General features: G+C 43.2%; 1 protein-coding gene and 1 long non-coding RNA gene across 11 annotated transcripts in view, besides 3 other annotated features; one reads left to right on the forward strand and one right to left on the reverse strand.

Annotated features, from left to right (window-relative positions):
• The window catches only part of GMDS (GDP-mannose 4,6-dehydratase), a 621,800-nt gene extending 615,290 nt beyond the window's left edge, over positions 1-6,510 (reverse strand). For 9 of the 10 annotated variants that reach the window (XR_007059239.1, NM_001500.4, XM_011514502.4 and 6 more), the window contains exon 1: positions 6,226-6,510. Coding sequence is in view for 9 of the 10 variants with exons in the window: in NM_001500.4 (NP_001491.1) it covers positions 6,226-6,327 (102 nt within the window). In the remaining variant the exon portion in view is untranslated. Of the gene's footprint in view, positions 1-5,839; positions 6,084-6,225 lie in introns of those variants that run through there. The other variant, XM_011514500.2, reaches the window with a different exon arrangement.
• Positions 6,152-6,652: an enhancer, noted in NCBI's record as "H3K27ac hESC enhancer chr6:2245481-2245981 (GRCh37/hg19 assembly coordinates)". NCBI's record gives its function as "activates a minimal SCP1, AML or CMV promoter by ChIP-STARR-seq in naive H9 embryonic stem cells {active_cell/tissue: H9 hESC(naive)}" and the evidence as "EXISTENCE:reporter gene assay evidence [ECO:0000049][PMID:30033119]".
• Positions 6,152-6,782: a biological region, named in NCBI's record as "H3K27ac hESC enhancer GRCh37_chr6:2245481-2245981".
• Positions 6,153-6,782: a silencer, noted in NCBI's record as "silent region_16826". NCBI's record gives its function as "represses an Ori minimal core promoter by ATAC-STARR-seq in GM12878 lymphoblastoid cells {active_cell/tissue: GM12878}" and the evidence as "EXISTENCE:reporter gene assay evidence [ECO:0000049][PMID:35858748]".
• The window catches only part of GMDS-DT (GMDS divergent transcript), a 167,839-nt gene continuing 148,103 nt past the window's right edge, over positions 6,658-26,393 (forward strand). The window contains exons 1-3 of the long non-coding RNA NR_046229.1: positions 6,658-6,835; positions 9,742-9,831; positions 24,506-24,589. This is a non-coding gene — a long non-coding RNA (GMDS divergent transcript). The remainder of the gene's footprint in view (positions 6,836-9,741; positions 9,832-24,505; positions 24,590-26,393) is intronic.

Here is a 26,393-nt window from a genome sequence, read left to right on the forward strand (position 1 = left end):
AGGTGGGCGGATGACTTGAGGCCAAGAGTTCAAGACCAGCCTGGCCAACATGGCAAAACCCCAACTCTACTAAAAATACAAAAATTAGTTGGGCGTGGTAGCGCACGCCTGTAATCCCAGCTACTCAGGAGGCTGAGGCACAAGAATCACTTGAACCCAGGACACGGATGTTGCAGTGAGTGAGATCATACCACCATTGCACTCCAGCCTAGGCAACAGAGTAAGATCTGTCTCAAAAAAAAAAAAAAAAAATCCAATTGGCTTTATGTCTAAAACTGAAATTACTGCACTGCTTAAATATAAAGATAATTGCATAATTTCTCTATTGTACACATAATAAGTCAGCATGTAATCCAAACATCACACTACTGTAGACTAGGAGCAGCCCTTAGATCCCTAAGAATAACCAGGTAACCCTTTCACTTGACAAGTTAAGAAAAACACTCAAAAAATGTAAGGCTATACAATTAATTGGTATCAAAACCCAACCTCTGATTCCCAGTCCAGAGCTCTTTCAATTAATCACATGTAACAGTCTTTGATTAAGCAGGACAGTACTCAAGACATCTCTCTCACTTCCAATAATGCCAGACCTTTTTTTTTTTTTTGAAATGGAGTCTTGCTCTGTCGCCCAGGCTGGAGTGCAGTGGCACGATCTCGGCTCACTGCAAGCTCTGCCTCCCGGGTTCACCCCACTCTCCTGCCTCAGCCTCCCAAGCAGCTGGGACTACAGGCACCTGCCCCCATGCCCAGCTAATTTTTTTGTATTTTTAGTAGAGACAGGGTTTCACTATGTTAGCCAGGATGGTATCGATCTCCTGACCTCGTGATCCAGAGATTTGGGAGGCCCGCCTCAGCCTCCCAAAGTGCTGGGACCACAGGTGTGAGCCACCACGCCCAGCCCAATAATGCCAAACCTTTTATCCCAGGACTGCAAATCCCAGCAAGGAAGATTTAGAATGGAAGTCACTGCCTACAATCCTCTTATATGAGAAGATAAGACCAGCTCCCAGATCTGCTTTGCACAGTCTTGAAAGACTCACTGGACATTAAATCTGTTGGCCTCCCAGTACTTTATAGCCTTGTGGTTGATTCCAAATATTACAGAACTTTCTGCTTCTAGATAATAGATTCCCCATGCAAAGCAAGGCTAAATAGTAATACCTCCCACATTCAACTTCCTTTCCTAAAAGTCAAGAAATCTTTTATTATTCTGTTAACACTATGGAGGGAAGGTCCATTCCAGTAATGAGGCAAAGGCCACTACTATGTGCAGATTTATTTCCTATTTGATAAGAATTATTCTTCCAACCTGGCAGAAAAGATAAGTGACTTACCCAAAGCCAGTGCAGTTCAGAAAGAGCTAAGCAGTAATTCAAACACCTGTAATCCCAGCTACTCAGGCAGCTAAGGCACGAGAATCATTTGAACCTGGAAGGTAGAGGTTGCAGTAAACCGAGGTCACGTCACTGCACTCCAGCCTGGACAACAGAATAAGACTGTCTCAAAAAAAAAAAAAAAAAAAGAAAAGAAAAAGAAAACCACCTCATAGAAGCTCTCTGTTGCTTCAACAAATATACTTTGAACAAAATGTAATGCACTTTGAACGGTACCTGGCACAAACTAAATGCTCAGTACTTGTTAATTATTTTAATCTACCATAATTATAACTATCACCATCATCATACCACTAGACTATCAATGTCATAAGGAAGATGGTAATTCAGTCTGTTGCATTTGCTGTTCAAAGTGCATTACTTGTAGAATTGGTAGAGAAAAGGGAAACAGATCAGAAAAATTTTTCAAATCTACAACCTGGTCATGTGATAGTGAAAGAAAACAGCATTTTTCAGTAAAGAAAGCCAATGGTGCTGGGGAGCAATCACCTGCTAAAGAGGTTGGCATGGATAAAAGGGAGCCAGGTGCTAATAGTCAGAACAATGGGAAAAGACCCTGAAGGCATCTCAGACATCTTTGAGGCTGTCTCTCCCATCAGAGGCCCAGAGACCTAGGAGGACAGCATGGTTTGGGGAGACAGGCCCGGGGCACAGCTGGCCTGGCACACCTCAAGGAGTCCTGGAACGTCCTACATGCTGCTCCGACATCCTGGCTGCTGCAGTCACAGAATGTCTACCCAATGACCGTACAACCATTGTATCTTGGAAAAAAATTATTCGTTTTTGGTTTTACAGGCTCATAGCTAGAAGGAACTTGCTTTGAGTCTCAGACTTTGAACCGTTAAGTTGGTGCTGGAACAAGTTAAGAATTTTAGGGACTATTGGAATTGTATTTTGCATGAGAAAGATGATTGTATTTTGCATGTGAGAAGGATGAGATCTGGGGGGTCAGGGATGGAATGCCATGGTTTGGATCTTTGACCCCTCCAAATCTCACACTGAAATTTAATCCCCAAGGTTGGAGGTGGGAACTAATAGGAGGTGTTTTGGTCATGGAAGCAGATCCCTCATGAATGCTTGGTGCCATCCTCACAGTAATGAGTGACTCCTCACTCTATTAGCTCCCGCTAGAGCCGGTTGTTAAAAAGAGCCTGGCACCCCACACCCCACCCCACCTCTTGCTTCCTCTCTCACCATGTAATCTCTGCATACACTAGCTCCATGAGTGGAAGCCTAAAGCTTTCAGCAGAAGCAGATGCTGGTGCCATGCTTCTTGTACAGCCTTCAGAACCATGAACCAAATAAACCTCTTTTCTTTATAAATTACCCAGCCTCAGGTATTCCTTTATAGCAACACAAACAGATGAAGACAACTTTCATATCTTTATATCTGCAGCAGCACCAAAACAAGCCTTGGACACTGCAGACATGCAGTGAAGATGTGTTCTGCTAATGGAAAAAGTAAGTCAACAGTTTTGAAACCCCACTAGATGAAGGCATGTGGGAGGTAACAGGCTGAAAATGAGATTTCTATCTTAAAGTAGTTCATAATCTCAAGACAAAAGATATGAAATTACTTATACAATCAACAGGGACTGCATACATGTAAATACAGAGGAAGTTCCTGGAATGGCTGCATTTATCAGGATTAGGCTGAGAACACTGAGACTCACCTTAAAAGGAATAAGAATTGTGAGGCCATTCAGCCACAAATAATTACTCCAAAGAGGTACAAGGCAACAGTATTCAAAAAACAGCAAGAACATCTCCAAGAGTGCAGTAAAGAACAGCATCATTAGCCAATGGGGGTGAGCTTTTAAGAGTGGCTGGCAGAGGGCCTGGAGACAGCAATGCAAAGCCAGAGCCTGAGCTTCTTTAAAGCCTATTTAATAAGGTTCCCACTTTGGAAAAGGAGTGTGTCAAGAACCGATGGGAGGGGAAGGCTAGAATAAGAAGCCTGACAATACGTACTAGAGATACACAGCAGACAGGACACCCTGGCTGTCCGCACTATTCTCAAGCGGGAATTTGGGACAACCCATTTAAGAGCCCATCTTGGCACAAATGCCATGATAGCCCCAAGTGCCAGAGCAGTGGCATTTGAATCTGAAATCTCTTCTTAGAGTAAGACTATTTATTTCTCTCTGTCTCATAAGGCTCACCACAGTCTGTATAACAAAATGACTTACAGCAACTGCTGAGATCTGGGTTCAGATCTCAGTTCTGACACTCATTAGATGTACGACCTCAGGGAACATATTTAACCTTACTTAGCCAGGGATAAATGGGGATACTTATTATACCTGTCTCTTAGGTAGGGATATACAAAATGCTTAGCAGAGTGAATAGCTCAGTAAGTTCTCAGCCAATATTATTAAGAAAACATACAATAAGGTATGGATTTTCAGACCCCTTGCATTAACACCACAGTGCTCCAGAGATCCTTGATACTCAAGTTGGGAGTCACTGTCCTGGAATACAAATAAAAAACATAAAAGAGCAGTAAATTCCATCTGCAAGTGTTTATGTGGTAGCTACAGAATTCAGCACTATGCTAGGGGTACAGAAGCCAATGCAACACCAAATGAGGAGACAATGCAGAGGGCAGATGCCGGAGGGAAGAAAGAAACACTGGGGCAGAGATTCAACCCAACCTGAAAGCCATGCAGGTGTTTTAAGTTGGAAATGAAATGAGGAACCAAAAAATTCCAGTCAGGGAGTGGTCTGCTGAGTGTGGTGCTTCAGGTAGACTCCCATGACAGGCTGCAGGACAAACTAGAGTGGGGGCCCACTTCCATACCTTCCTGGCCACTCAGTTCCAGCCAAATGACTGCTCTTAAAAGTCAAAATTAGGTTCCATTTCTAATCTGCACTGATTCATACTGCTGGTCGTGTAAATTGGTATAGGCCACACCAACACAGCACATTAGTTAAGATGTTAATCTTAACTAATTTCCGGACAATACTAAAATAAAATCTCTACTTTCCAGAGATTAGGTAAACTTGGTAAACATTTGAGCTTCAGGTCCAGTCTGACAAAATGGAAAAAAGGGAATCATCTGCAGAAAGGTCCCAGCATTAGAAAACAAAGAGAAGGGGGAGGACAGTATGTAGGCCCTGACCTGTCTTACTGCCTCAATTCAAGGATTCAATTTCTCAACCTCAGATCCTTGCCCTCTTACTAGTTTTCAAACTCAGATCCACCTCTTACTAGTTTTCAAACTCTTGTCTATTATGATTACCTTAAGCAAAGCAAGATGCATGAATAACCAGCAGTAAATCAGGTATTCAATACTTGAAATTGTGTAATATTCTGTGACTGTGCATCTGGCCAATTTCAACTTCTCCTTCTTTTTTTTTTTTTTTTTTTTTTTTTTTTTTTTTGAGGCAGGATCTCACTCTCTTGCCCCAGGCTGGAGTACAGTGGTACCATCATTGCTCACTGCAGCAGCCTCAGACTCCCGGACTCAAGTGATCCTCCTGCCTCAGCCTCCTGAGTAGCTAGCACTACAGGTGAGCACCAACATGCCTGCCTCATTTTTTAAATTTTTTTGTAGAGACAACGTCTCAATATGTTGCCCAGGCTGGTCTCAAACTCCTGGCCTCACCTCGAGCAATCCTTCCACCTCTGCACACCGAAGTGCTGAGATTTCAAGTATGAGCCGCTGCCTCCTGCCCACTTAGCCCTTTCTAACACTAGAGAACTTTGAGAGTGGTTTCAATACCAACTGGACACTTCCCAGCGGTTTAACCTCAGGCAAATCAAACTCCCATGCCTCAGTTTCCACATATATAGAGATAATAAAAGTACCTCCTCAAAGAGTTTGTTATGAGAACTAAATGAGTTAATGTTAGGCAAGCGACTGGAACATGATAGACACAATATGTATTAGCCATTATCACCTTTATCTCAGTGTTATATTGGCCACCACCCAGAGATACCCAGGAGCACACACATCACATTCTTTCTACAGCAATATGTGGGCACGATTACTTCATGACCACTGAATCTAAAACAGCACAGCTTGGTAAGACACAGCGGTCGGATCCCACCTACTGCAACACCTCTAAGAGGCGACCCTCACAAACCAGCCATGCTTAGCCTGAGACATTCCGAAGACCTCCTCTTGATTACCTTACTCGACGAACTTATTCCTTTGAAAATGGAACTAGCCGCACTTTTGGACCAGTGTGCCTCGGATACACTTCCAAATGTGTCAACCTGAATCTCAGAAGTTGGCGTGATTTTAAAAAGTTTTTTAAGTTCTTTTTCCTAAACATGTCCTAGTAGGTGACTCCACAGCATTACTTTCTTTCATGTTCTCTTTTCTATCTGGAAATCCGGTGATAGGGGACGAAACCAGCAAAGCACCCTTTTTCTTGCTTCCCAAACGTTAGCAGGTAAGCGCCCCTTGAGCCGAGACACATCAAGAAGACCTCACCCGCAAGTTCATTGATCACCGGTTCTTTTCCCTTTCCGGCACTAGGAGCTGCGAAGCACGACATGGGCTTGGAGGAAGAGACGCTGCGGTCACCTGAGGGGCAGGTGAGAGCGGGCGGTCCTGCCCGGGTGTGAGCGCGACATCCCGCGCGGCACACACGCTCACAGCCCCCAGAGAAAGACCAGAGGCGCTCGATGTATCCCGCACACCCCACACGCAACACACTAACTGCACCGTACCTTCCGTCCCACCTCCCGGCAGCAGACCCCTTCCGGGACGCCGAGAGGGCTGTTCCTGGAGAGACCGCAGCCCACGAGTAGCGGCGCGTAGGGAGAGCACGCGTGCCCAGGCTGCCTCGGCCGGCGCGCCCCCGCCCCCGCACTCACCTGGCCTGTGATACCGGTGATGAGCGCCACGTTCCTGGGCTTGCCCATCTCGCCGTCCCCGGAGCCCCGGGCGCTGGGGCAGCGTGCCGGTGCGTGTGCCATGTCCCGCGGCGGGCGTGCGGTCGGCGGCAGGGCGGAGCGCGGCAGAGGGCAGGCGCGGTGCCGGCAGGAACGCGGGGGTGTGCAGCACGAAGCGCCTCTCCAGGCTGCGGGCAGGGAGGGAGAGCGCACCGCGCGACCGGCCGCCACAGTCTGACAGGGGCGCACGGGAGGCCGTGCAGGGAGGGCCGGGGGCGGGCCGAGCCGGCCAAGGCGGGCCCGACGGGCCAAGCAGCGGGGCTGCGGCCTGACTGGCGCAGCGTCATTCGCGTCAGCCGGCGACGCTGTAGCAGGCCCCGCCCCTCCGCCGACGGCCACCGCGCGGGAGGGGCGGGGCCTGCCGCCGCCACCGCCTCAGGGAAGAGGAAGGAGGCCGCGGCTTCGCGTCCCGCCTCTCGCCTGGCTGGCCGTGGGGGGCCTGGACGCAGTGGCCTCCCGAATCTCCCAGGACCCTAATATCGCCCGAGGATGCTGGGAGGAACGCTGAGCCGACCTCTCCGTTAGGCTGAAGGTCTGAATTTTCAAACCCAGGGGTCACAGGGCCGGGGTCATGGACTTTGATAAATAATTCCTGGAAACCTGTTGCAGTGCCCTTTGAGAAGCCCGGTTTATGGTACCTGAAGGGCAGTAGCGTACAAGGCCCGTAAACGGGGGTCACAGATGTGGGAGTGACTAACTAGGCTGGCTCTCGCTCTTCTGGCCTTTCCTGAGGCTCGGAACCAGTAACGAGGTTCCAAATAGCTGAATTCAAAGTTTTCTCTTCTGAGGACTGCCAGTGCACAAGAAAGTCCCTAGCCCCACCCGTATGCGGCATAAGGAAATGTTGAAAAGACTGCCCGGGTCAATAAACCTGGACGTGGCAGATTTCAAAGAAAGTAATTCAAACACAGGTGGGGTCCCGGCTTACATCTGTTGGATTTGGCTGCCATTTGGCAGCTGCTCGTTGGACAGGGAGAGGAGAGGAGGTGACTCAGAGCCGGGAGGGCAGCAGGTGTGTGTGCCTAAGCAGTTGGCTGCAATCCAGGACACAGACGGAAACTTCCCGGTCTCCGTTGCTCTGCTTCTCTGTCCACATTCCTCTCCCTAATCGATAACTTCAGATCATCATTTCAAATCACAGAGTTACTAGGGCTGTGCCCAATATAACGTGCAAGAGTATGTATAGCAGACCTGGAACCCCAAAATCAGAAAAGCTCAGGATTACATTTAAAACCTCCCTCTCGCGCTCCTCGAGGTCCGTTAGGAATATTTCTTAGCTATAGATAGACTGGTCTGGTTTCACACCTGGCCTCTCCTCTGCGTTCTATGAGGAGAATGGCTCAACAAACATCTGATGGTGCCTCTGAGTGATGAAGAGACCCTGAAGCTGAGGAGAGGGAACACTTCCATTGAGAGGAACATGCTATAAGCTAGAAATGTCTGTGAAATATACGGGAATATGCTAAAACTATACTCATTTTCATGTAAATACGCTTTAAATTAATGCATGAGCCAATTATTTAACATTTTCCTTAAAAAAATCACTGAGCAAGCCGGGCGCAGTGGCTCACGCCTGTAATCCCAGCACTTTGGGAAGCTGCGGCAGGTGGATCACCTGAGGTCAGGAGTTCAAGACCAGCCTGGCCAACACGGTGAAAACCCGTCTCTACTAAAAATACAAAAAATTAGCCAGGCGTGGTGGTGGGCACCTGTAATCCCAGCTACTCTGGAGGCTGAGGCAGAAGAATCGCTTGAACCCGGGAGGAGGAGGTTGCAGTGAGCCGAGATCTTGCCATTGCGTTCCAGCCTGGGCAAGAAGAGCAAAACTCCATCTCAAAAAAAAAAAAAAAAAATCACTGAGCAAAACTGATACTTATGGGAGATATGACACATTTATCCTGTAGTTTTGAGACCTCCTATCACACAAACACTGGAAGTTGACACCAGTCAATTTCCTGTCACACCACCAAACACCTGCCCTAGAAGTGTGTGACAGTAGAAGAAAAATGGAAAAAAAATCAACATTATTAGGGCCTGAAAATATTTATAAAATGATGGGAAATGGTAGGTCAGAGGAAGCTTGAAGAATAAAGGCTATTTCTCTAGAGAACTTTTCTGAAGACAGGTGGTAGGTCTGCTACAGCAACGTACCATCCATAGGGTGACAAACGATAGAAATTTATTTCCTCACAGTTCTGGAGACTGGAAGTTTAGGATCAAGGGCTGATTTCTTCTGAGGCCTCTCTCCTTTTCTTGTAGCTGGCTGTCTTCATGTTCACATGGCGTTCTCTCTGTATGTGTGTCTGTGTCCAAACTTCCTGTTCTTATAAGAACACCAGTTACATTTGATTAGGACCCTCTTTAATGACCTTATTTCCAAATACAGTCACATTTTGAGCTACTAAGAGTTAAGACATCAATATATTAATTGGGGGAGGGACAAAATTCAACCCATGATTGACAGCTAGAGGGAAAAAGAGGTTCTTTTTTTTAACTGTTTGTGGGCTCGGAGGGAGGAGGTTGGTAGTGGAGGTTGTTGTCATTTTCCCAGTAGCATTAGGGCAACTTGAACAACGTCAGCACAGGGTCTGGGGCAGCATAAGAAGATTACATTAACTAGAAGTAAAGCGACCAGCGGTAGTGGAAAGCTCTAAGGGTGATGGCTCAGTTGTGTTTTCCTCTAACACAGTTCTCATCCCTGGGTGATTTTGCCCCCAGGGGACATTTGACAATGTCTGGAGGCATTTTTGATTGTCACAAATGGAGTTGTGCTATAGGTATCTAATGAGTAGAGGTTAAGTATTTTGCTCACCATCTGCAGTGCACAGGAAGCTCCCACAACAAAGATTTTTCTAGCCCAAAATGTCAATAGTGCTGAGGCTGAGTAACCCTTCTCCAGGAGGCCAGTGAAAGATGTTAACAAGCGGGTGGTTGAACTGACAGACACTGGCTATACTATACAGTGACTTCATGGTATGTCAGAAGAAGCAAATACATTTGGTAGCTAATTGTTGATGCTGATACCTTTACTCACAAACTTGGCTAATCTCCAGAAACATACTAGCTGCTGAGGGTATAGCAGTAGAGGAGAAATAATCTTCAAGGGGCTATAATCTGAAAGGGATATGATATTGAATCATTTTATGACTTTTCATAACATTTTCATATTTGTTTTAATATGATACAAAATATAGAGAAAAGAGTGAGGCCTCCAACTCCAAGTCCTCTAATTGGATAAAAGTCAATCATTCTGTACAAGACTAAATATGTGGAATAACATTTTTCACTTCTTTCTTTCCCATCTCTTGCCACTGAGTGCATGCCAGTTATTCAAGAACGATTCTCCAGCATTCCCTTTAAAATTCTCTCTCCTCTCCTTTTTTAAACATTTCTTTCCTTTGCTTTTCACATGGAACATTTGCTGATCTTCTTTCTCAGATTGCACAAACCATGCTAATGGCCAGCATGGATGGAGGGAGCGTGTGAGATGTGTGGGGCAGCGTGCTGCATCTCAGCCAACTCCAGGAGGTAAGTGCGTCTGCTGTGGTGAAATCTATATTTGGTCTTCATTTCTGTTTTCCTGGCATATGATTTCTAAAATGCTTAGAATCACCAAAGCGATGTATTTTGTAGGGTAATGAGTGAGTTCACTGTTGGCTGGCAGCCCTTAGGTGGCTTCAGGGTGGAAACTGGTCATTGTAAAGACCAATGCAGGATTAGAGGGCTGGGACTTTCAGCCCCATCCCCTAACCTCCAGGGAGGAGAGAGAAGCTGATGGTTAAGTTGATCACCAACGGCCAACGATTTAATCAATCATGCCGACATAATGAAGCCTCCATAAAAACCCAAAAAGGACTGTGTGCAGAGAGTTCTAGATAGTTGAACACGTGGAGGTACATGGAGGGTGACGCTTCAGGGTGGGCACCAAAGCTCCAAGCTCCTCCTATTCCTTGCCCTGTACATCTCCTCATCTGCATCCTTTGTCATATACTTTGTCATACCAGTAAACTGGTAATCCTGAGTAAGAGATTCCCTGAGTTCCGTGAGCCACTCTTTCAGATTAATAAACCTAAGAAGGGGGTCACGTGAAGCCCACTTTTTGGCCAGTCAGAAGCACAGGTAGAATAACCTGGGGCTTGCAATTGGCATCAGAAGTTGGCGGGGGCACAGTATTGGGGACTGAGCCCTTGACCTGTGGGATCTGATGCTATCTCCAAGGAGACAGTGTCAGAGTTGAATGGAATTGAAGGGCACCCAGCTGGTGTGCCCTATAGAATTGATTGCCTGCTTGTGGGTGGGAAGAAATCCCATGCATACTTGGTCACAGAAGTCTTCTCTGTTGATTGGTGTTTTGTTAGAGCAGGGGAAAAACAATTTGAGTTTGTCCACACTCAGTATGATAATGATCTTTATTTCATAGAGTCAGAAACTGAGGATTGGAAACATTAATAAACTCGCCCAAGGCCACATAGCTAGTGGCTGGTTATGGTAGATATTATGCTCATTCAACTCCCATTCCATACTCTCTTTGGAAAAATTAGAGTGCTCAAAGCCACATGTCCCAGACCATTTTGCATCTCATATATAGGAAGCAAATTGAGCTTTGTCAATTAGATGCGTTCCTGCTCAATCTGGCAGGTGGAAGTGAAACAGAAGCCATCCTTCTGCTTTCTGGTCCAACTGACATGAGGATTAACGGCAGTTAGAGTCCAAGTTTGGGTCTAGTCACCGTTTTCATGGGCATGAGAGCCACTTGGGTTGGGGGAGCAGCATGGCAGCAGGAGTGGTTTTCTGAATTCTGGCCTTCAGCTATGGTGGTAATGTCCTGACATCAACAACTGAAGGCCCTCCGAGTTCTCTTCCTCTGTCTCATAAATATTTTTTTCAACTAATAATTGTAGATTCAAATGTATTTTTAAGAAATACAGTGAGTGACATGGTCATGTCTTCAAATACTATAGAGCAATAGCACAAGCAGCATATTGGCGTTGATAGAATTCACCAATCTCATTCAGATTTCCTCAGTTTTTGTACTCATTTGTGCAAGAGTATGTGTATTTACTTGTGTACCGTTTGGTTTGGTTTGTTTTGCCTGAGACAAGGTCTCACTCTGTCATCCAGACTCACTTGCAGCCTCAACCTCCTGGGCTCAAGCCGTCCTCCTGCCTCAGCCTTCTATATAGCTGGGACCACAGGTACACACCACCATGGCCAGCTAATTTGCTTATTTTTAGTAGAAACGAGGTCTCACTTTTGCCAAGGCTGGTCTTCAGCTCCTGGGCTCAATTGATCCTCCCTCCTTGGCCACCCACAGAGCTGGGATTACAGGTATGAGCCACCATGCCCAGCTATTTTTTTAATTTATTTATTTTGAGTAGAGACAGGAGTCTCACTTTGTTGCCCAGACTGGTCTTGAACTCTTGGGCTCAAGCAATCCTCCTGCCTTGGCCTCTCCCACAGGGCTGGGATTACAGGCATGAGCCACCATGTGTGGCCTACTTCTATACAGTTTTATTGCATGTATATATTCATGCATCCACCACCGCCATCAAGATTCCAAAACCACCAGGACACCTCATGTTACCCCTTTATAACTGCACCACCTCCCTCCCACCCCCATCCCTAATCCTTTGAAAACACAAATCTGTCCTCTATTTTTAAAATTTTGTCATTTCAAAATGTATCATAGGCTGAGTGGAATGGTTCACGCCTGTAATCCCAGCACTTTGGGAGATAAAGTCTGGAGAATTGCTTGAACCCAGGAGTTTGAGACCAGCCTGAGCAATATAGCGAGACCTTAGCTCAACAAAAAATAAAAACTAGCCAGGCAGGGTGGCACGTGCCTCTGGTCCCAGCTACTGGGGATGCTGGGACCTCATTTGACCCCAGGAAATTGAGGCTGCAATGAGCCATGATCGCACCACTGCACTCCAGCCTGAGTGACAGAGCAAGACCTTGTCTCAATTTTTTTTAAGCATTATAAATGAATAATCTTTTGAAATGTGCTTTTGTCATTCAAGTTTTCTGGAGAGTCATCATCCAAGATGTTGTGTGTATGGATAGTTTGTTTATTTATTTAGTTAGTTAGTTATTTTTGAGAGGGTGTCTTGCTCTGTCACCCATGCTTGGAGTGCAGTGGTGCAATCTCGGCTCACTGCAGCCTCTGCCTCCCAGGTTCAAGCGATTGTCCTGCCTCAGCCTCCCAAGTACCTGGGATTGCAGGCACCCTCCACCACACCCAGCTAATTTTTGTATTTTAGTAGAGACAGTGTTTCACCATGTTGGCCAGGCTGGTCTCGAACTCCTGACCTCAAGTGATCTGCCCACCTCTGCCTCCCAAAGTGCTGGGATTACAGGCATAAGCCACTGCACCCGGCCTCATTAATTTTTTTGTTGAGTAGTATTCCATAGTATGGCAGTACAATCGCTGGTTTAACTATTCACTTACTGAAGGATATCTCAGCTGTTTCCAGTTTGGGACCACTACAAATAAAGCCGCTGTGAACATTCATGTACAGGTTTTTGTGTGAACACACATTTTCACTTTGCCCAAGAGTGCAATTGCTGGGTCCCGTGATCATTGCATGTTTAGTTTTTTTTTTTTTTTTTAGACTGCCAGATTTTTTTCTTGCAAGGATTTTGTAAATACAGAATTTCCTGTATTAAATCCCTTTCTACTTGAGATCCCTATAGTGGCTTCTGTGTCCAGCTCTAACCCTTGGCTGACATGGCTCAAACTTCAGACCCAGTGCTCTTAACCAAGACTGGAAGACCAAAGAGATGACCTCCTGAGTGCATGAAAATGAATGAGAGAGAAGGGTCGGGGCAACAGAAAGCATCCAGTAGAGAAGGAGAAGTAGAGACCATTTCTTTTTTTTTTTTTTTTTTTTTTTTTACTTTCCCTGAACTTCAACTTCAAGATTTATACCAGTTTTCCAGTTCAGGTAATAAGCAGAATAGAAGCACTGGATTTTTAAATAAAATCTGAGACAATCCAACTTTGTTGGACATGAGACAACTTAGATCCCTGCTTTTCCACTGGAATAAAATACATCGCATAAATCTTTCTTAGAATGCATAGCAGAAGCAGCAGGGTTTTAGAAGCAGAGTTAAAAGGCAATGAGATAGCTCTAAAATTTCTTTTTATTTTTTTGAGACAGAGTTTCACTCTTGTTGCCCAGTCTGGAGTGCAATGGCGCGATCTCGGCTCACTGCCACCTCCGCTTCCTGGGTTCAAGCGATTCTCCTGCCTCAGCCTCCTGAGTAGCTGAGATTACAGGCATGTGCCACCATGCCTGGCTAATTTTTTGTATTTTTAGTACAGACAGGGTTTCTCCATGTTGGTCAAGCTGGTCTCAAACTCCTGACCTCAGGTAATCCACCCACCTCGGCCTCCCAAAGTGCTGGGATTACAGGCATGAGCCACCACACCCGGCCAATAGCTCTAAAATTTCTAGGAAGTTCCTGAAATCTGCCACCTCAACTTTGGAATATACCATCCTACAAATGAAATCAGACTACAGCAAGTTTTTTGAATGATGTATTTAGAAAAGGAAAAATAAATGTGTTCAAAATAATTGAACACATTTATTTTTTTTCTCTTACATCCTCACTCATACAATTTCCCATCAGATAGCTGTCTTCAGGCAAATGAGTATTACAAGTATGAGTTCTGGGCCACGTATATACCTTATCTACAGCAGGCTATGTATGTAAGCCTAAGTCACTTTGTCTCTAGCTCCTCTGGGTTTTTGTTGTTGTTGTTTTGTTTGTTGAGATGGAGTCTCGCTCTGTCACCCAGCCTGGGGTGCAGTGGCCTGATCTCAGCTCACTGCAACCCCCGCCTCCCGGATTCAAGCAATTCTCCCGCCTAAGCCTCCTGAGTAGCTGGGATTACAAGCATGTGCCACCACGCCCGGTCTCGAACTCCTGACCTCAAGTGATCCACCTGCCTTGGCCTCCCAAAGTGTTGGGGTTACAGGCATGAGCCCCCGCACCGAGCCTACTCCTCTGTTTTTTAATTTTTCTTTTTTCTTTTTTTTTTTTCTTTTGACCAATAGTCTTCAAGCTAGAAAACTTCATTGGGGACATTTTATTGGGAAGGTTTTCCACTCTAATAATCTCAATTTCTCAATGCGCTAAAACCCAGGGAGCAGAGCCTTGGAATCATTGCTATACTGTCTAATTAGAACCTCCTCTCAAGGAGCACAGCATTGCTTTTCCATTAGCAGCATCAAACCCAGAGAGGAAAAGCATGTGAAGGTTTAAGTTGTCCATGGAGCTTATTTTCAGCATTTTCCCCTCAGGATTTGAGAACATGCCTATGCCCACTCCTCCCTTTGTGACATTTCTTAAAGCCTTGCTCAATAAAAGTGAATCTCTAATAACATAAAACACTAGAGATGAAGTAATACATTGTTCTTTAAAATAGATGAGGTAATAAAACACCATTGACTGCTATGGAAATTTTCCAGTTCCTGGTTACTAGTCTGATTCTTATAATGTGTCAAAATTGCCTCAAGGTTAAGATATTGGTCTTATTGCTAATTCTAAGCACTGTAATGCCAGAGAAACCTTACCATTTTGTACTAATATGTTTAACATGTTCAAGATGCTGTCATAAATCTCAGGCTCCTCATGGCTCAGTCCACTTCAACTAGTAATGGCTTCCAGTCATTTTTGATGACTGGTAAAGGGTTGGCTAAGGGCCTAATCTGCATAATGAGAATGCTAGGACTATAAAGGCAAGCGTCACGAATCCTATGCAATAGAGAATTTGCTAGACTTTCTGGGAAAGAGAACTTTGATCCTAATGAATTTTTTTAAATGGCCCCCTCATTCCCACTAAGAGAGATCTTTCATCAACCTCCAGGAGGCATGCCTTGGGAAACTCGCCCTAGGATAGAAGAGTGCTGAAGAGTATCTGGGCTCTGTCCTGGATTGTGTCCTAAATGTTAGTGAGAAGACCCATTTTTGACTTGACATTGGATAGGATCACTAAATAATCCTGACATGCAACTCTGGGGTAATTTGTTCCATGTTCTCAAGCAAACTAAGTCTTAAAAAAGCAAGCTGCTCCTTTGGGAACCTCACCAAAAAGCAGTAAGCGCTAGTGAAGATGGAACCTTCAGCAGCCAGTGAGCAGTGGAGATAGTTGTGGCAAAATCAGTATCAGCTGGGATCCTGGCAAAATTACCATGGCTTCAAATCATCATGACAGATACTATGGCTTGGCTCCCAACAGAAGGAGCATTCAGCCAAGTAAAGTGTTCAGTGAAAACGCCAGGGAGTTAATCCTGATTCGTCTAAAGCCATCATGTTAGTTCCATTCCCCTTGTCAAAGAAGGACTTAGGCATAGCCATGTTATGCAACCCTAGCCCCTGAGATGAAATAAGTGGAATTATTCTGCCATTGAGTCCCTCCTGCCCACCTCCTATAGGTGATATCCTCAGGTTAGTGTTGAAGGCATTCAGCCTTTCCTGTATGAGATCCATCCAGATCCTGCCTGATGGCAGCCCATCGTTCTATGGGTAATTAGGACGGGGCTCTGCTGGGCAGTTATTCTGCTCCTTGTGACATTAACTGGAGTTACTCAGTGGTATTCAGATGGTGGCTGGAGAGTTCATTAACTCTTCCCTCACAGTCTCGTGCCTTGACAGGGAAGTCTGGAAAGCAGGGCTCAGATAGAATCTAAGTGGCCAGGCCTCTCTCTCCCTGGCCTCTCTATGGCCTCTCCACATGGTCCCTTCAGTGTGGGAGACAGCTTACATGGTGAGTCAGTACTACCAAGTATAGGGTTCTAAAAGACTGAGGAAAAAACTGCAAGACTCCTTATGACTTAGCCTTGAAGTCTCAGAACATCACTTCTTCTCACATTCTACTAGACAAAGTAAGACACAAGACCAGTCCAACTCAACAGGAAGGAATTAGATTCCACATCTCAATCTAAGGAGCAGCACAAATATGCAGAGAGGAAAGGAATTGATTGTGGCCCTCTTTGAAAACTATCTCAGGCCATCCTTGGGCCACTTCAATTCATAGCTCTTCCTTATGCAAAATACACTCACCTCTTGCATTTGTTTTCTATGCTGCGTAACAAATTACTACAAACATAGCAGCCTTAAGTAATACACATTTATTATCTTAGTTTCTGTGGGGCAGGAGCCTGGGCATGACTCAGCTAGGTCCTCTGCTCAGGGTCTCATGTGACTGCAGTCAAGGTGTCAGATGAGCTATATTCTCATCTGGAGGCTTGACAGGGGAAGAGCCTACTTCCAAGTTCATTAGGTTGGTGGTAGAATTCACTCCATTGTGGATGTATGACTGAGGACCCTGGCTTTTTGCTAGCCATCAGAAGAGGCCAGTCTTGGGTCCTAGAGACCACCTGTGGCTCCTTACAATGTGGGCTTTCTCAACATGGCTACTTACTGCATGAAGCCAGCAAAAAGAATCTCCCAGTCCAGTATGCTAAGACAGAGCCTTGTATAACATAAGTCCCACCCTCACTCAAGGGGAGGGGAATGTTAAGAAGACATAAACAACAAGAGGTGAAAATTATTGACCGTAGGACCTGTCCATCACATTCCCTTTTTGGAGGCCCCAAATTTGATGGTTTAATTAAAGAAAAAAAAATGTTATTATCTCTTGTGGTTCTATGTGTTGGCTGAGCTCAGATCGGAAGTTGTTACTTGGGATTGTGATTCCGGTTGCAGTCAGATGGCATCTGGAGCTGGGATCCTCTGAAGGTTTGATTGGGTTAGAAGTTCAAAATGGCTTCGTCATGCACATGTCTCTTGCCTGGGTTAAGATGACGAGAATGCGAGGGCCTGGCTGAGCATTTCTTTCTCTCCACGAAGCCCTCTCCGTGTGGCTGGCCTGGGCTTTCTCACAGTGTGGGAGTCTGAGTGGTGGGACTTACACGTGGTAGTTCACTTCACAAAAGTAAACATTACAACAGTCCTAGGAGGAAGCTGCAAGGCTTTGGATGGTCTGGACTCAGCAGTCATGCAGTGTGTCTTCTGTCACATTCTATTAGTCAAAAGCAAGTCACAAGGCCAGCCCAGATTCAAGGGGTGAATCATAGGAGGCACAGCTCATTGGGGGAGCTATTTGTGAAGACTATTAAATATATCGACTTGGAAAAGCAACGTAATTACTATGTATGGTTTCTAAAACTACCTCCCACAAGAACATCACCTAGATTTATATCCAGATTCCATGTACAAATTTTGACTGAGCAACTAATGCCATGTTGGTGCATTATACAATAAAGCCAGGCATCAAACGTGCATAGTCACATGGTCACAATGAAAGTTATGTTCCTAGGCCAGGCGCGGTGGCTCATGCCTGTAATCCCAGCACTTTGGGAGGCTGAGGCGGGTGGATCACCTGAGGTTGGGAGTTCGAGACCACCTTGACCAACATGGAAAAACCCCATCTCTACTAAAAATACAAAATTAGCCAGGTGTGGTGGCGCATGCCTGTAACCCCAGCTACTCGGGAGGCTGAGGCAGGAGAATGGCTTGAACCCGGGAGGCAGAGGTTGCAGTGAGCCGAGATCGTGCTATTGCCCTCCAGCCTGGGCAACAAGAGTGAAACTCTGTCTCAAAAAAAAAAAAAGAAAACAAAAAAAAAAAAAAACAAGAAAGTGTGTACCATGCCATGGGCATGCATTGTCCATTATCTCTGATAGCTCAGAGTTCATCACAACCGAGTATGCTGGGCTAGAAAGGGCTTTCCTTCCTGAAAAGAGATGGGCAAAGACAAACTTCGCTTTCTGGTTGTGGGGGTTGTTCTGTAGGTATGATGCCTGGAGTTATACCGAATATCCTATGACTATGAAGGGAAAGTCAAAAATTGTACAAAAGCAACTCAGAATCCTGACATAATTGAGCTGCGATAGTAACCAACCCTGAAACTTCTTACCTTTAGATTTCTATGTGAGACAGTACATTCCTTATTTTTTAAATCACCTTAACTGGATTTTCTGTTCCTTGCAACTCAATACATTTTTTGTTTTAGCCAACTCATCTAAACTAATTTTGATCAATTTATTTTTATTGCTACATCTCTCTAGACCACTAAGTAGTGAAGAAGAAAGGAGCCTGGAGCCACAGTAGAAGAACTTTAATGGCCACTAAGAACATACAATCATCTGGCACCCTGCCAGGGAAATTTGGGGCCTTTGGAGCTTAATGCTTGGAAAACCACACCCTTAATTTTCCTTCCTTATTCCAAGTGGACTGAGAGAACAAGCTTATGTTTTGTTCCTTAGAATTTTTTTTTTTTTTTTTTTTTTTTTACCCATCTGACCCTTAAACATTGCTATGGTTTGAAAGTGATGCCTCCAAAATTCATGCAACAGAATTGGGAGGTGTGGACTAACGGGATGTCTGTAAGTCATGAGGGCTTTGCCCTCATGAATGGATTAATGCTGCTATGAAAAGGGCTTGTGGAAGTGGGCTTTCTCTCTCTCGCTCTCTCTTCTACTCTTCTGCCATGTGAGGACACAGTGTTCCCCCTTGCTGGAGAATGCAGCAATGATGCACCATCTTGGAACCAGAGACTAAATATGCTGGCACCTTAATCTTGGACTTCCCAGTGTCCAGAACTATGAGAAATAAGTTTCTGTTCTTTAACATTTCCTAGTCTGTGGTATTCTGTTATAGCAGCACACACACACACACACACACACACACACACACACACACAAAGACTGATAATCATTCTTCCCTTTTCTAACCCTAGCTTAATGTGGAAAAACCAAGTTTATATTTTAGGGGATTTATCCATACTTACCCAAAACCTTGTGTCATCTCCATCTGTTCCACTGGTTATTACCAAACTGAGAATTAGTCAATTGACCTTTTGTGCAGGAGTGTATTAGTCTCCTAGGACTGCTATAACAAAATACTACAAACTTGATGACTTCAAACAAATTTATTCTCTCACACTCTGGAGGCTAGAAATCTGAAATTAAGGTGTCAACAGGCCCACATCCGCTCTGCAGGCTCTAGGGAAGGATCGTGTCTGCCTCTTCCTAGCTTCTGGTGGTTGCCAGCATTCCTTGGCCTTCCTTGGCTTATAGACACGTTGCTTCCTTCTTTGCCTCTGTAGTTACGTGATGTTCTCCCTGTGTGTGTCTGTGTTAAAAATTTCCCTCTTTTAATAGGGACAACAGTTGAGTTGGGTCAGGGCCACCCTACGCCACTCTGACTTCATCTTCGCTTGATCACATCTGTAAAGACCCTTTTTCCAAATAAGGTCACATTAGTACATACCAGAGGTTAGGACCTAAACACCTTTTTGGGGAACTCAATTCAACCCACAGCAGTCAAGTCTATTAAAGGACTGATGTAGTAATGAACATCATCCTCAGTAGCAAGAGTCTAATAAACTGTGTTGGCAAAAGACAAGAGCCTAAGGGCAATTCTGAGAAGGTTGGATGAGGAGGAAGGAGAACGTAAAAAGAAGCTGATAAAGTTTTCTGAGGAAATGGATTTCTCTTGGGTTGTCAGGAAAATCATATGGGGAGAATAAAGTCTTTTCTTCATTGAGCACTTATAAGTTGGTAGCCTAGATGAAACACTTCATGTATTGTTTCAGTATTCCTCACAGCCTACAAGGTAGGAAGTTATCTCCATTTTTTTTTAGATAAGAAGTTGGAACACAGGGAAGTTACAGTCAATTGCTTAGAGGTTATTTAGTAAATAAATGGCAAAGCCAGGAATGAAAGCCCTCTCTGTCTCATAGCAAAGTCCATGCTCTTTCCGTTTGTGAAACTAATCCTGCACTAAGTGAACAAATAATTATCCCATATGTAATCTATGCCAGGTACAGGACCCAGGGGTGTGTCAGGATATATGCTGCCAAGCTGCCTTGGACAAAGGTGATCACAGTTTACATTTCCACTTACAGTGTAGGAAAGTGCCTGATTCCACAGACCATTCCCAGCACTGAATATTCAACTCGGAATCGTTTAAAACCAGATGTTTAAAAAGTGGTATCTTGTTTTAATTTGCGTGTTCTTGATGATTAGTGAAGTTGTGCATCTCTTCAAATGCTTAACCATTTCTATTTCCTTTTCTCTGAATTGTCTTGTCATATATTTTGTGCATTTTCTGTGCGGTTGTTTATCATGTAGATTTGTTGAAGCTTTTTGTATATGATAGATATCAACACCGTGTCATTTTATATGTTACAAATACATCCTCCCATTAAGTTGCTTTTCATTTTGCTTTGTTTCTAGGAACTTACTTAGAAAGATATTCCCCACAGCAAGATGATAACACTGTCCTTCTATTTTCTTCTGTATATGGTTTGTTTGTTTGTTTGAAGAGATGGGGCCCCACTCTGCCCCAGGCTTTAGAGGTGTGATCCTAGCTCACCACAGCCTACAACTTCTGTGCTCAAGCGGGGAACCCTCCCACCTCAGCCTCCCGAGTAGCTGGGACTACTGGCATGTGCCACCATGCCCGGCTGATTTTTATTTATTTATTTATTTATTTTTTGTAGAGATTTTTTTGCCACTGTTTTGCCCAGGCTTGTCTCAAACTCCTGACCTCAAGCGATCCTCCTGCCTCTTGGCCTCCCGAAGTGTTGTATTATAGGTGTAAGCCACTACTCACCCCTGTGTATGTATTTTTATGTAAAATGTAATAAAATGTTTTTTCTCAACTGGACAGTCATTGATCAATGATCTCAAAGCTATCTGTTGATTAGTCCATCCTCCCCCCACTAATTTGATATTTTGTCTTTCTTGTATCTTGAATTGGAATTTACATATAGATATTTTACTAGAAGCTCATTTGTTTAACTGCCTTAATTTTCAAACCTTTCAGTGTCAAGCTTTTTCAGTATAATAGCTTAATCATTTCCACTTTATGATTCTTCATTTTTAAAATTTATGTTCTATTCTTTTTTTTTTTTTTTTTGAGACGAAGTCTTGCTCTGTCACCCAGGCTGGATTGCAGTGGTGTGATCTCGGATCACTGCAACTTCCACCTCCCAGGTTCAAGTAGTTCTCCTATCTCAGCCTCCCAAGTAGCTGTGATTACAGGCACATGCCACCACACCCAGCTAATTTTTTTGTATTTTTAGTAGAGACGGGGTTTCACCATGTTGGCCAGGCTGGTTTCAAACTCCTGACCTCAAGTGATCCACCTGTCTCAGCCTTCCAAAGTGCTGGGATTACAGGCGTAATCCACCATGCCCAGCTATGTTCTATTCTTAACACATTTTCTCTTCCTAGAAAATATCAGAATTATCTTATCAAATTCTTTCCACTAGGATTTTTTCTTTGCAGTGGGACTAATATTATATTTACAGATTCATATAAAATACTTACATTTTATATTAATATGTACAGAATTATTTCCTACCAATTTATTTAAGACTTAAAGTTTTAAAGTTTTGTCACTTAGCTCTAATGTTTTTCTTATTACATTTCAACCAAGGTTTTATAATTTATGTTGCAATTGTGAGTGGGAATCTATTTTTCCTGATATTTCCTTTTATAGTTATTGCTGAAAAAATAAGAAACTAAAATATAGAAACCATTATTTCTGTTATCTTGATTTTTTTTTTCACACTACTGGATTTCACCATAATCAATTCTTTTTGTCTTCCTGAAAGTCCTCTCTTTTCTAAGCTAGTTCTACCTCTCTTGGCTTTCTAGTGCTTTTATGGACATTAAACATTATATATATTTAATTATATAAAGATTATATGTATTTTAAAATAGACTTTATGTTTTATAGCAGTTTTAGATTTATAGCAAAATTGAACAGAAAATACAGAGAGTTCCCATATCCCCCTTCTGTCACACACCCACAACCTTCTCCACTATCGACATCTCCCACCAAAGTAGTACATTTGTTATAATCAATGAACCTACACTGACACATTATTATTACCCAAACTCCACAGTTTATATTAGGGCTTAACAAGTGTTGTACATCGTATGGGTATGGACAAATGTATAATGGCATGTAATTACCGTTATATAATAGTATCATACAGGTTAGTTCCACTGCCCTCTGTGCTCTGCCTATTCATCCCTCTCTCCTTGCAACCCCTGACAGCCACTGATCTTTTTACTGTCTTCATAGTTTTGCCTTTTCCAAAGGTCACGTTGTTGGAATCATACTGTATATGGCCTTTTCAGATTGGTTTCTTTCACTTACTAATATGCATTTAAGGTTCCTCCATATCTTTTCTTGGCATGATAGATTATTTCTTTTTATCACTGAATAATATTCCATTGTCTGGATCTACCAGAGTTTGCTTAGTCATTCACCCACTGAAGGATGTCTTGGTCGCTTCCAAGTGTGGGAAATTAGTAATCATGCCATTACAAACATCTTTGTGCAAGTTTTTTTGTGGACAAGTTTTTAACACATTTGGGTAAATAGTAAGGTGTGTGATTGCTGTATTATGTGGTAAGAGTATGTTTAGTTTTGTAAGAAACTGCCGAACTATCTTCCAAAGTGTCTGGACCATTTTGCATCCCCACCATCAATGAATGAAAATTCCTACTGTTCCACATCTTTGTCAGCATCAGGTGTTCTGGATTTTGGCCGTTCTAATAGATGTGTAGTTTTATCTTAGTGTCATTTTAATTTACAATTCTCTAATGACATACGATGTTGAGCATCTTTTCATGTGCTTATTTGCCATCTATATACTTTATTTGGTGAGATATTTATTCAGGTCTTTTGCCCATTTTTTAAATTGAGTTATTCCTTTCCTTATTGTTGAGTTTTAAGAGTTCTTTGCATATTTTAGATAACAATCCTTTGTCAGATGTGTGTTTTGCAAATATTTTCTCCCAGTCTGTGACTTGTCTTTACATTCTCTTGAGAGTCCTTTCATAGAGCAATTTTTAATTTTAATGAAGCTTTGCTTATCAATTTTATCTTTGTTACTGTATTTTAAAAACAATCACCATATCCAAGGATATCTAGATTTTCTCTTATGTTATCTTCTGGGAATTTTATAATTTTGCACTTAACATGAAGGTCTATGATCCATTTGAGTTAACTTTTGTGAAAGATGTAATCTCTGTGTCTAGATTCAGTTTTTTATTTTGTTTTGTTTTGTTTTGTTTGCGTGTGGATGGCCGGTTGTTTCAGCACATTTGAGGAAAAGACTGACTTTTCTCCACTGAGTTTTCTTTGCTTCTTTTTCAAAGGTCAATTGTTACGTGGTTCTATTCCTGGGCTCTCTATTCTGTTCCACTGATCTATTTGTCCATTCTTTTGCTAATATCATACCATCTTGATTACTGAAGCTTTATAGCAAGTCTTGAAGTCGAGTAGTGTCAGTCCACAACCCTGTTTTTCTGTTTCAATATTGATTTGGCTATTCTAGGTCTTTCATCTCTCCATATAAATTCAATAATCAGTTTGTCAATATCCACAAAATAACTTGCTGGAATTTTGATTGAGATTGCATTGAATCCCTATTGAGTCCCTATTATATAGTGCTTAATAAACCACCCCAAAATGAGATCAAGTTGGGAAGAACTGATATCTTGACAATATTGTCTTCCCACCCATGAACATAAAATATCTCTCCATTTTACTTAGTTCATCTTTGATTTCTATTATCACAGTTTCATAGATTTTCTTATGTGTATCAAGCACATATTTTGTTAGATTTATACCTAAGTATATAACTTTAGGGGTGCTAATGTAAATGGTATTGTGTTTGTAATTTATTTGTTTATTGTTCATTTTTATGAAAGACGTAGATTTTTGTAAATTAACCTTACATCCTTCAACCTTGCCATAATTACTTATAAGGGCCAGGAGGTTTTTGGAGATTCTTCTGAATTGTCTATGTAGATGATTGTGTCATCTATGAACAAAGACAGTTTTATTTCTTTCTTCCCAATCAGTGTACATTTTATTTCCTTTTTTTGTCCAACTGCACTAGCTAGGACTGCTAGTATGATGTTGAAAAAGAGTGGCAAGAGGGATCACCCTTGTCTTGTTGCTAATCTTAGCCAGAAAGCTTCTAATTTCTCACTATTAAGCATGGTATTAACTGTAGGGCTTTAAACAGATATATTATTTAGCAGGTTTAGGAAGCTCCCCTCTATTCTTAGTAGGCTGAGTGTTTTTATCATAAACAGGCAGTGGATTTTGTCAAATGTCTTTTCTGTGTATATTGATAAGATCATATGATTTTCTTTTTTAGCCAGTTGATGTGATGGACTACCTTAATTGATTTTTGAATGTTGAGCCAGCCTTATGCATGTGGGATAAACCCCTGTTGATCATGGTATGTATTTCATTTTATACAGTGTCAGCTTTAGTTTGCTGGATTTTTAAAATATGAAATCTCTTTTATAATTTCATCAGGATATTGGAATAAAAAAGATGTAGATGCATATATTCAGTCATTCCTTTTGAACCAGTTATATTTCTAAAAGCTTAACAAAAGTCTGGAGAAATCTCTTTTATGTTCTGAGGAGTTAAAAATTATATTACAAGGAAGCAACAAGAGAAAAGACTTATCCCCAATTGTTCCTGGTGCCTATTATTGCTTAGTAAACCACCCCAAAACTTGGTGATTTAAACAACAATGGTCATTTATGTTGCCTGTTAATTGCAATCTGGGCAGGGCTCTGCAGGGAAGGCTCATCTCTGCCTCACAGGGACATTCAGTGGCTGGAAGGTCCACCTCCAGGCTAGCTAACACACAGTTGGCAAGTCGGTACTCACTGCCTCTGTGTGGGAGCTCAGCCACAGCTCAGAGCTAGGCATTCTCACAGCACAATGGCTGGTTCCCAAGGCCAAGTATCCTGAGAGAGAGCTAGGTAGATGTTGTATTGCCTTCAGCTGTACTTTGTTAGTCAAGGCAGTTGCAAAGTCATGTGCAGGCTGAAGGGGAGGGAACAGAGACTCCATGTGAGGACACAAGAAGAAGGCAGCCATCTGCAAGCCAGAAAGTAAGGCCTCACCAGAAACCAAATTTTCCAACACCTTAATCTTGGACCTCTTGCCTTCAGAACTGTGAGAAAATAAATCCTGTTGTTCAAGCCATGCAGCCTGTGGTACATAGTCATAGCAGCCAGAACACATTAAGACAAACCCCGTTAGGCCTTGAATGCTAATGTCAGGCAAAGACCTAGCATATTAAGGCCGTTTTTAGACAGAGAGCTTTTTTGACTACCACAGTGGTAAATGGAGCATGCCAGTCATGTAAAGAGGCCCATAGGGTAGAAATCCCTGCCATTCTAGTATTCTTACGACAAGCTGACTATATGCAGGCAGAACAAAGGGACAGATGCCCCACTAGTGATTAAGGAAACAATGTGCCTTGGGGAGACGGGAAGGCTCTAGAATGGTATGAGCACCTTCAGATGGATAGGCTTGGATTCTAGAAATCCTTATGTGGATGGGTAGAGCCCAAATGGCCAGCACCTCCACTCATGCATGAGACCAGTGCATAAGAGATACACATCATAGAGTTTTCATCTGCTACTGGGGTCTGGCTCTTACACCTGTATGAACATGTGTAGAGCCTAGGTAGGACCATCCTATGAATGAATGTTCAGGAGTCACCCATCCCCATGAATGGAAACTAGGACTGATGGAACTAGGTATTTCCTGAACACTCAAAGTGGATCAACCTAATAGTGAACAAAACCACATCTGACAAGGAGAAGGCATAGGGACTACCTAGTGTTAGGAAACAGTCCCCGATTTCTGACTCATCCTGCTATAAGCCAACTTCTTTCCCACAAGACAGTACAGGACACAGCCTACAGGAGGAAATAGAAGTCCTGATCTTTCTCTTTCAGTATCCTGTGCTGTCAGAGGTCACTTTAGCTAGGCTTAAAAACCAGAAGGAAAAGAATTTCAGGATGGCAAAGGGATGGGCATGGTAGTGGTAAGACGATGAGGTGTGAGGGGCAGAGGAATAAGAAATTTAATGGTTTTTATTCAGACTTTATTATTTGGGCATGAGCCATTGGTGATTAACTCAATCTCCAGCCCCTTTGCCCTCCCTGAAGGTTGGGGAGGCAGGAAGTCCATCCCTCTGATCATGCCTTGGTCTCCATTCCCCAAACCCCATCCTG

This window comes from Homo sapiens, chromosome 6 (assembly GCF_000001405.40).
Source record: "Homo sapiens chromosome 6, GRCh38.p14 Primary Assembly".
Classification (NCBI taxonomy): domain Eukaryota; kingdom Metazoa; phylum Chordata; class Mammalia; order Primates; family Hominidae; genus Homo; species Homo sapiens.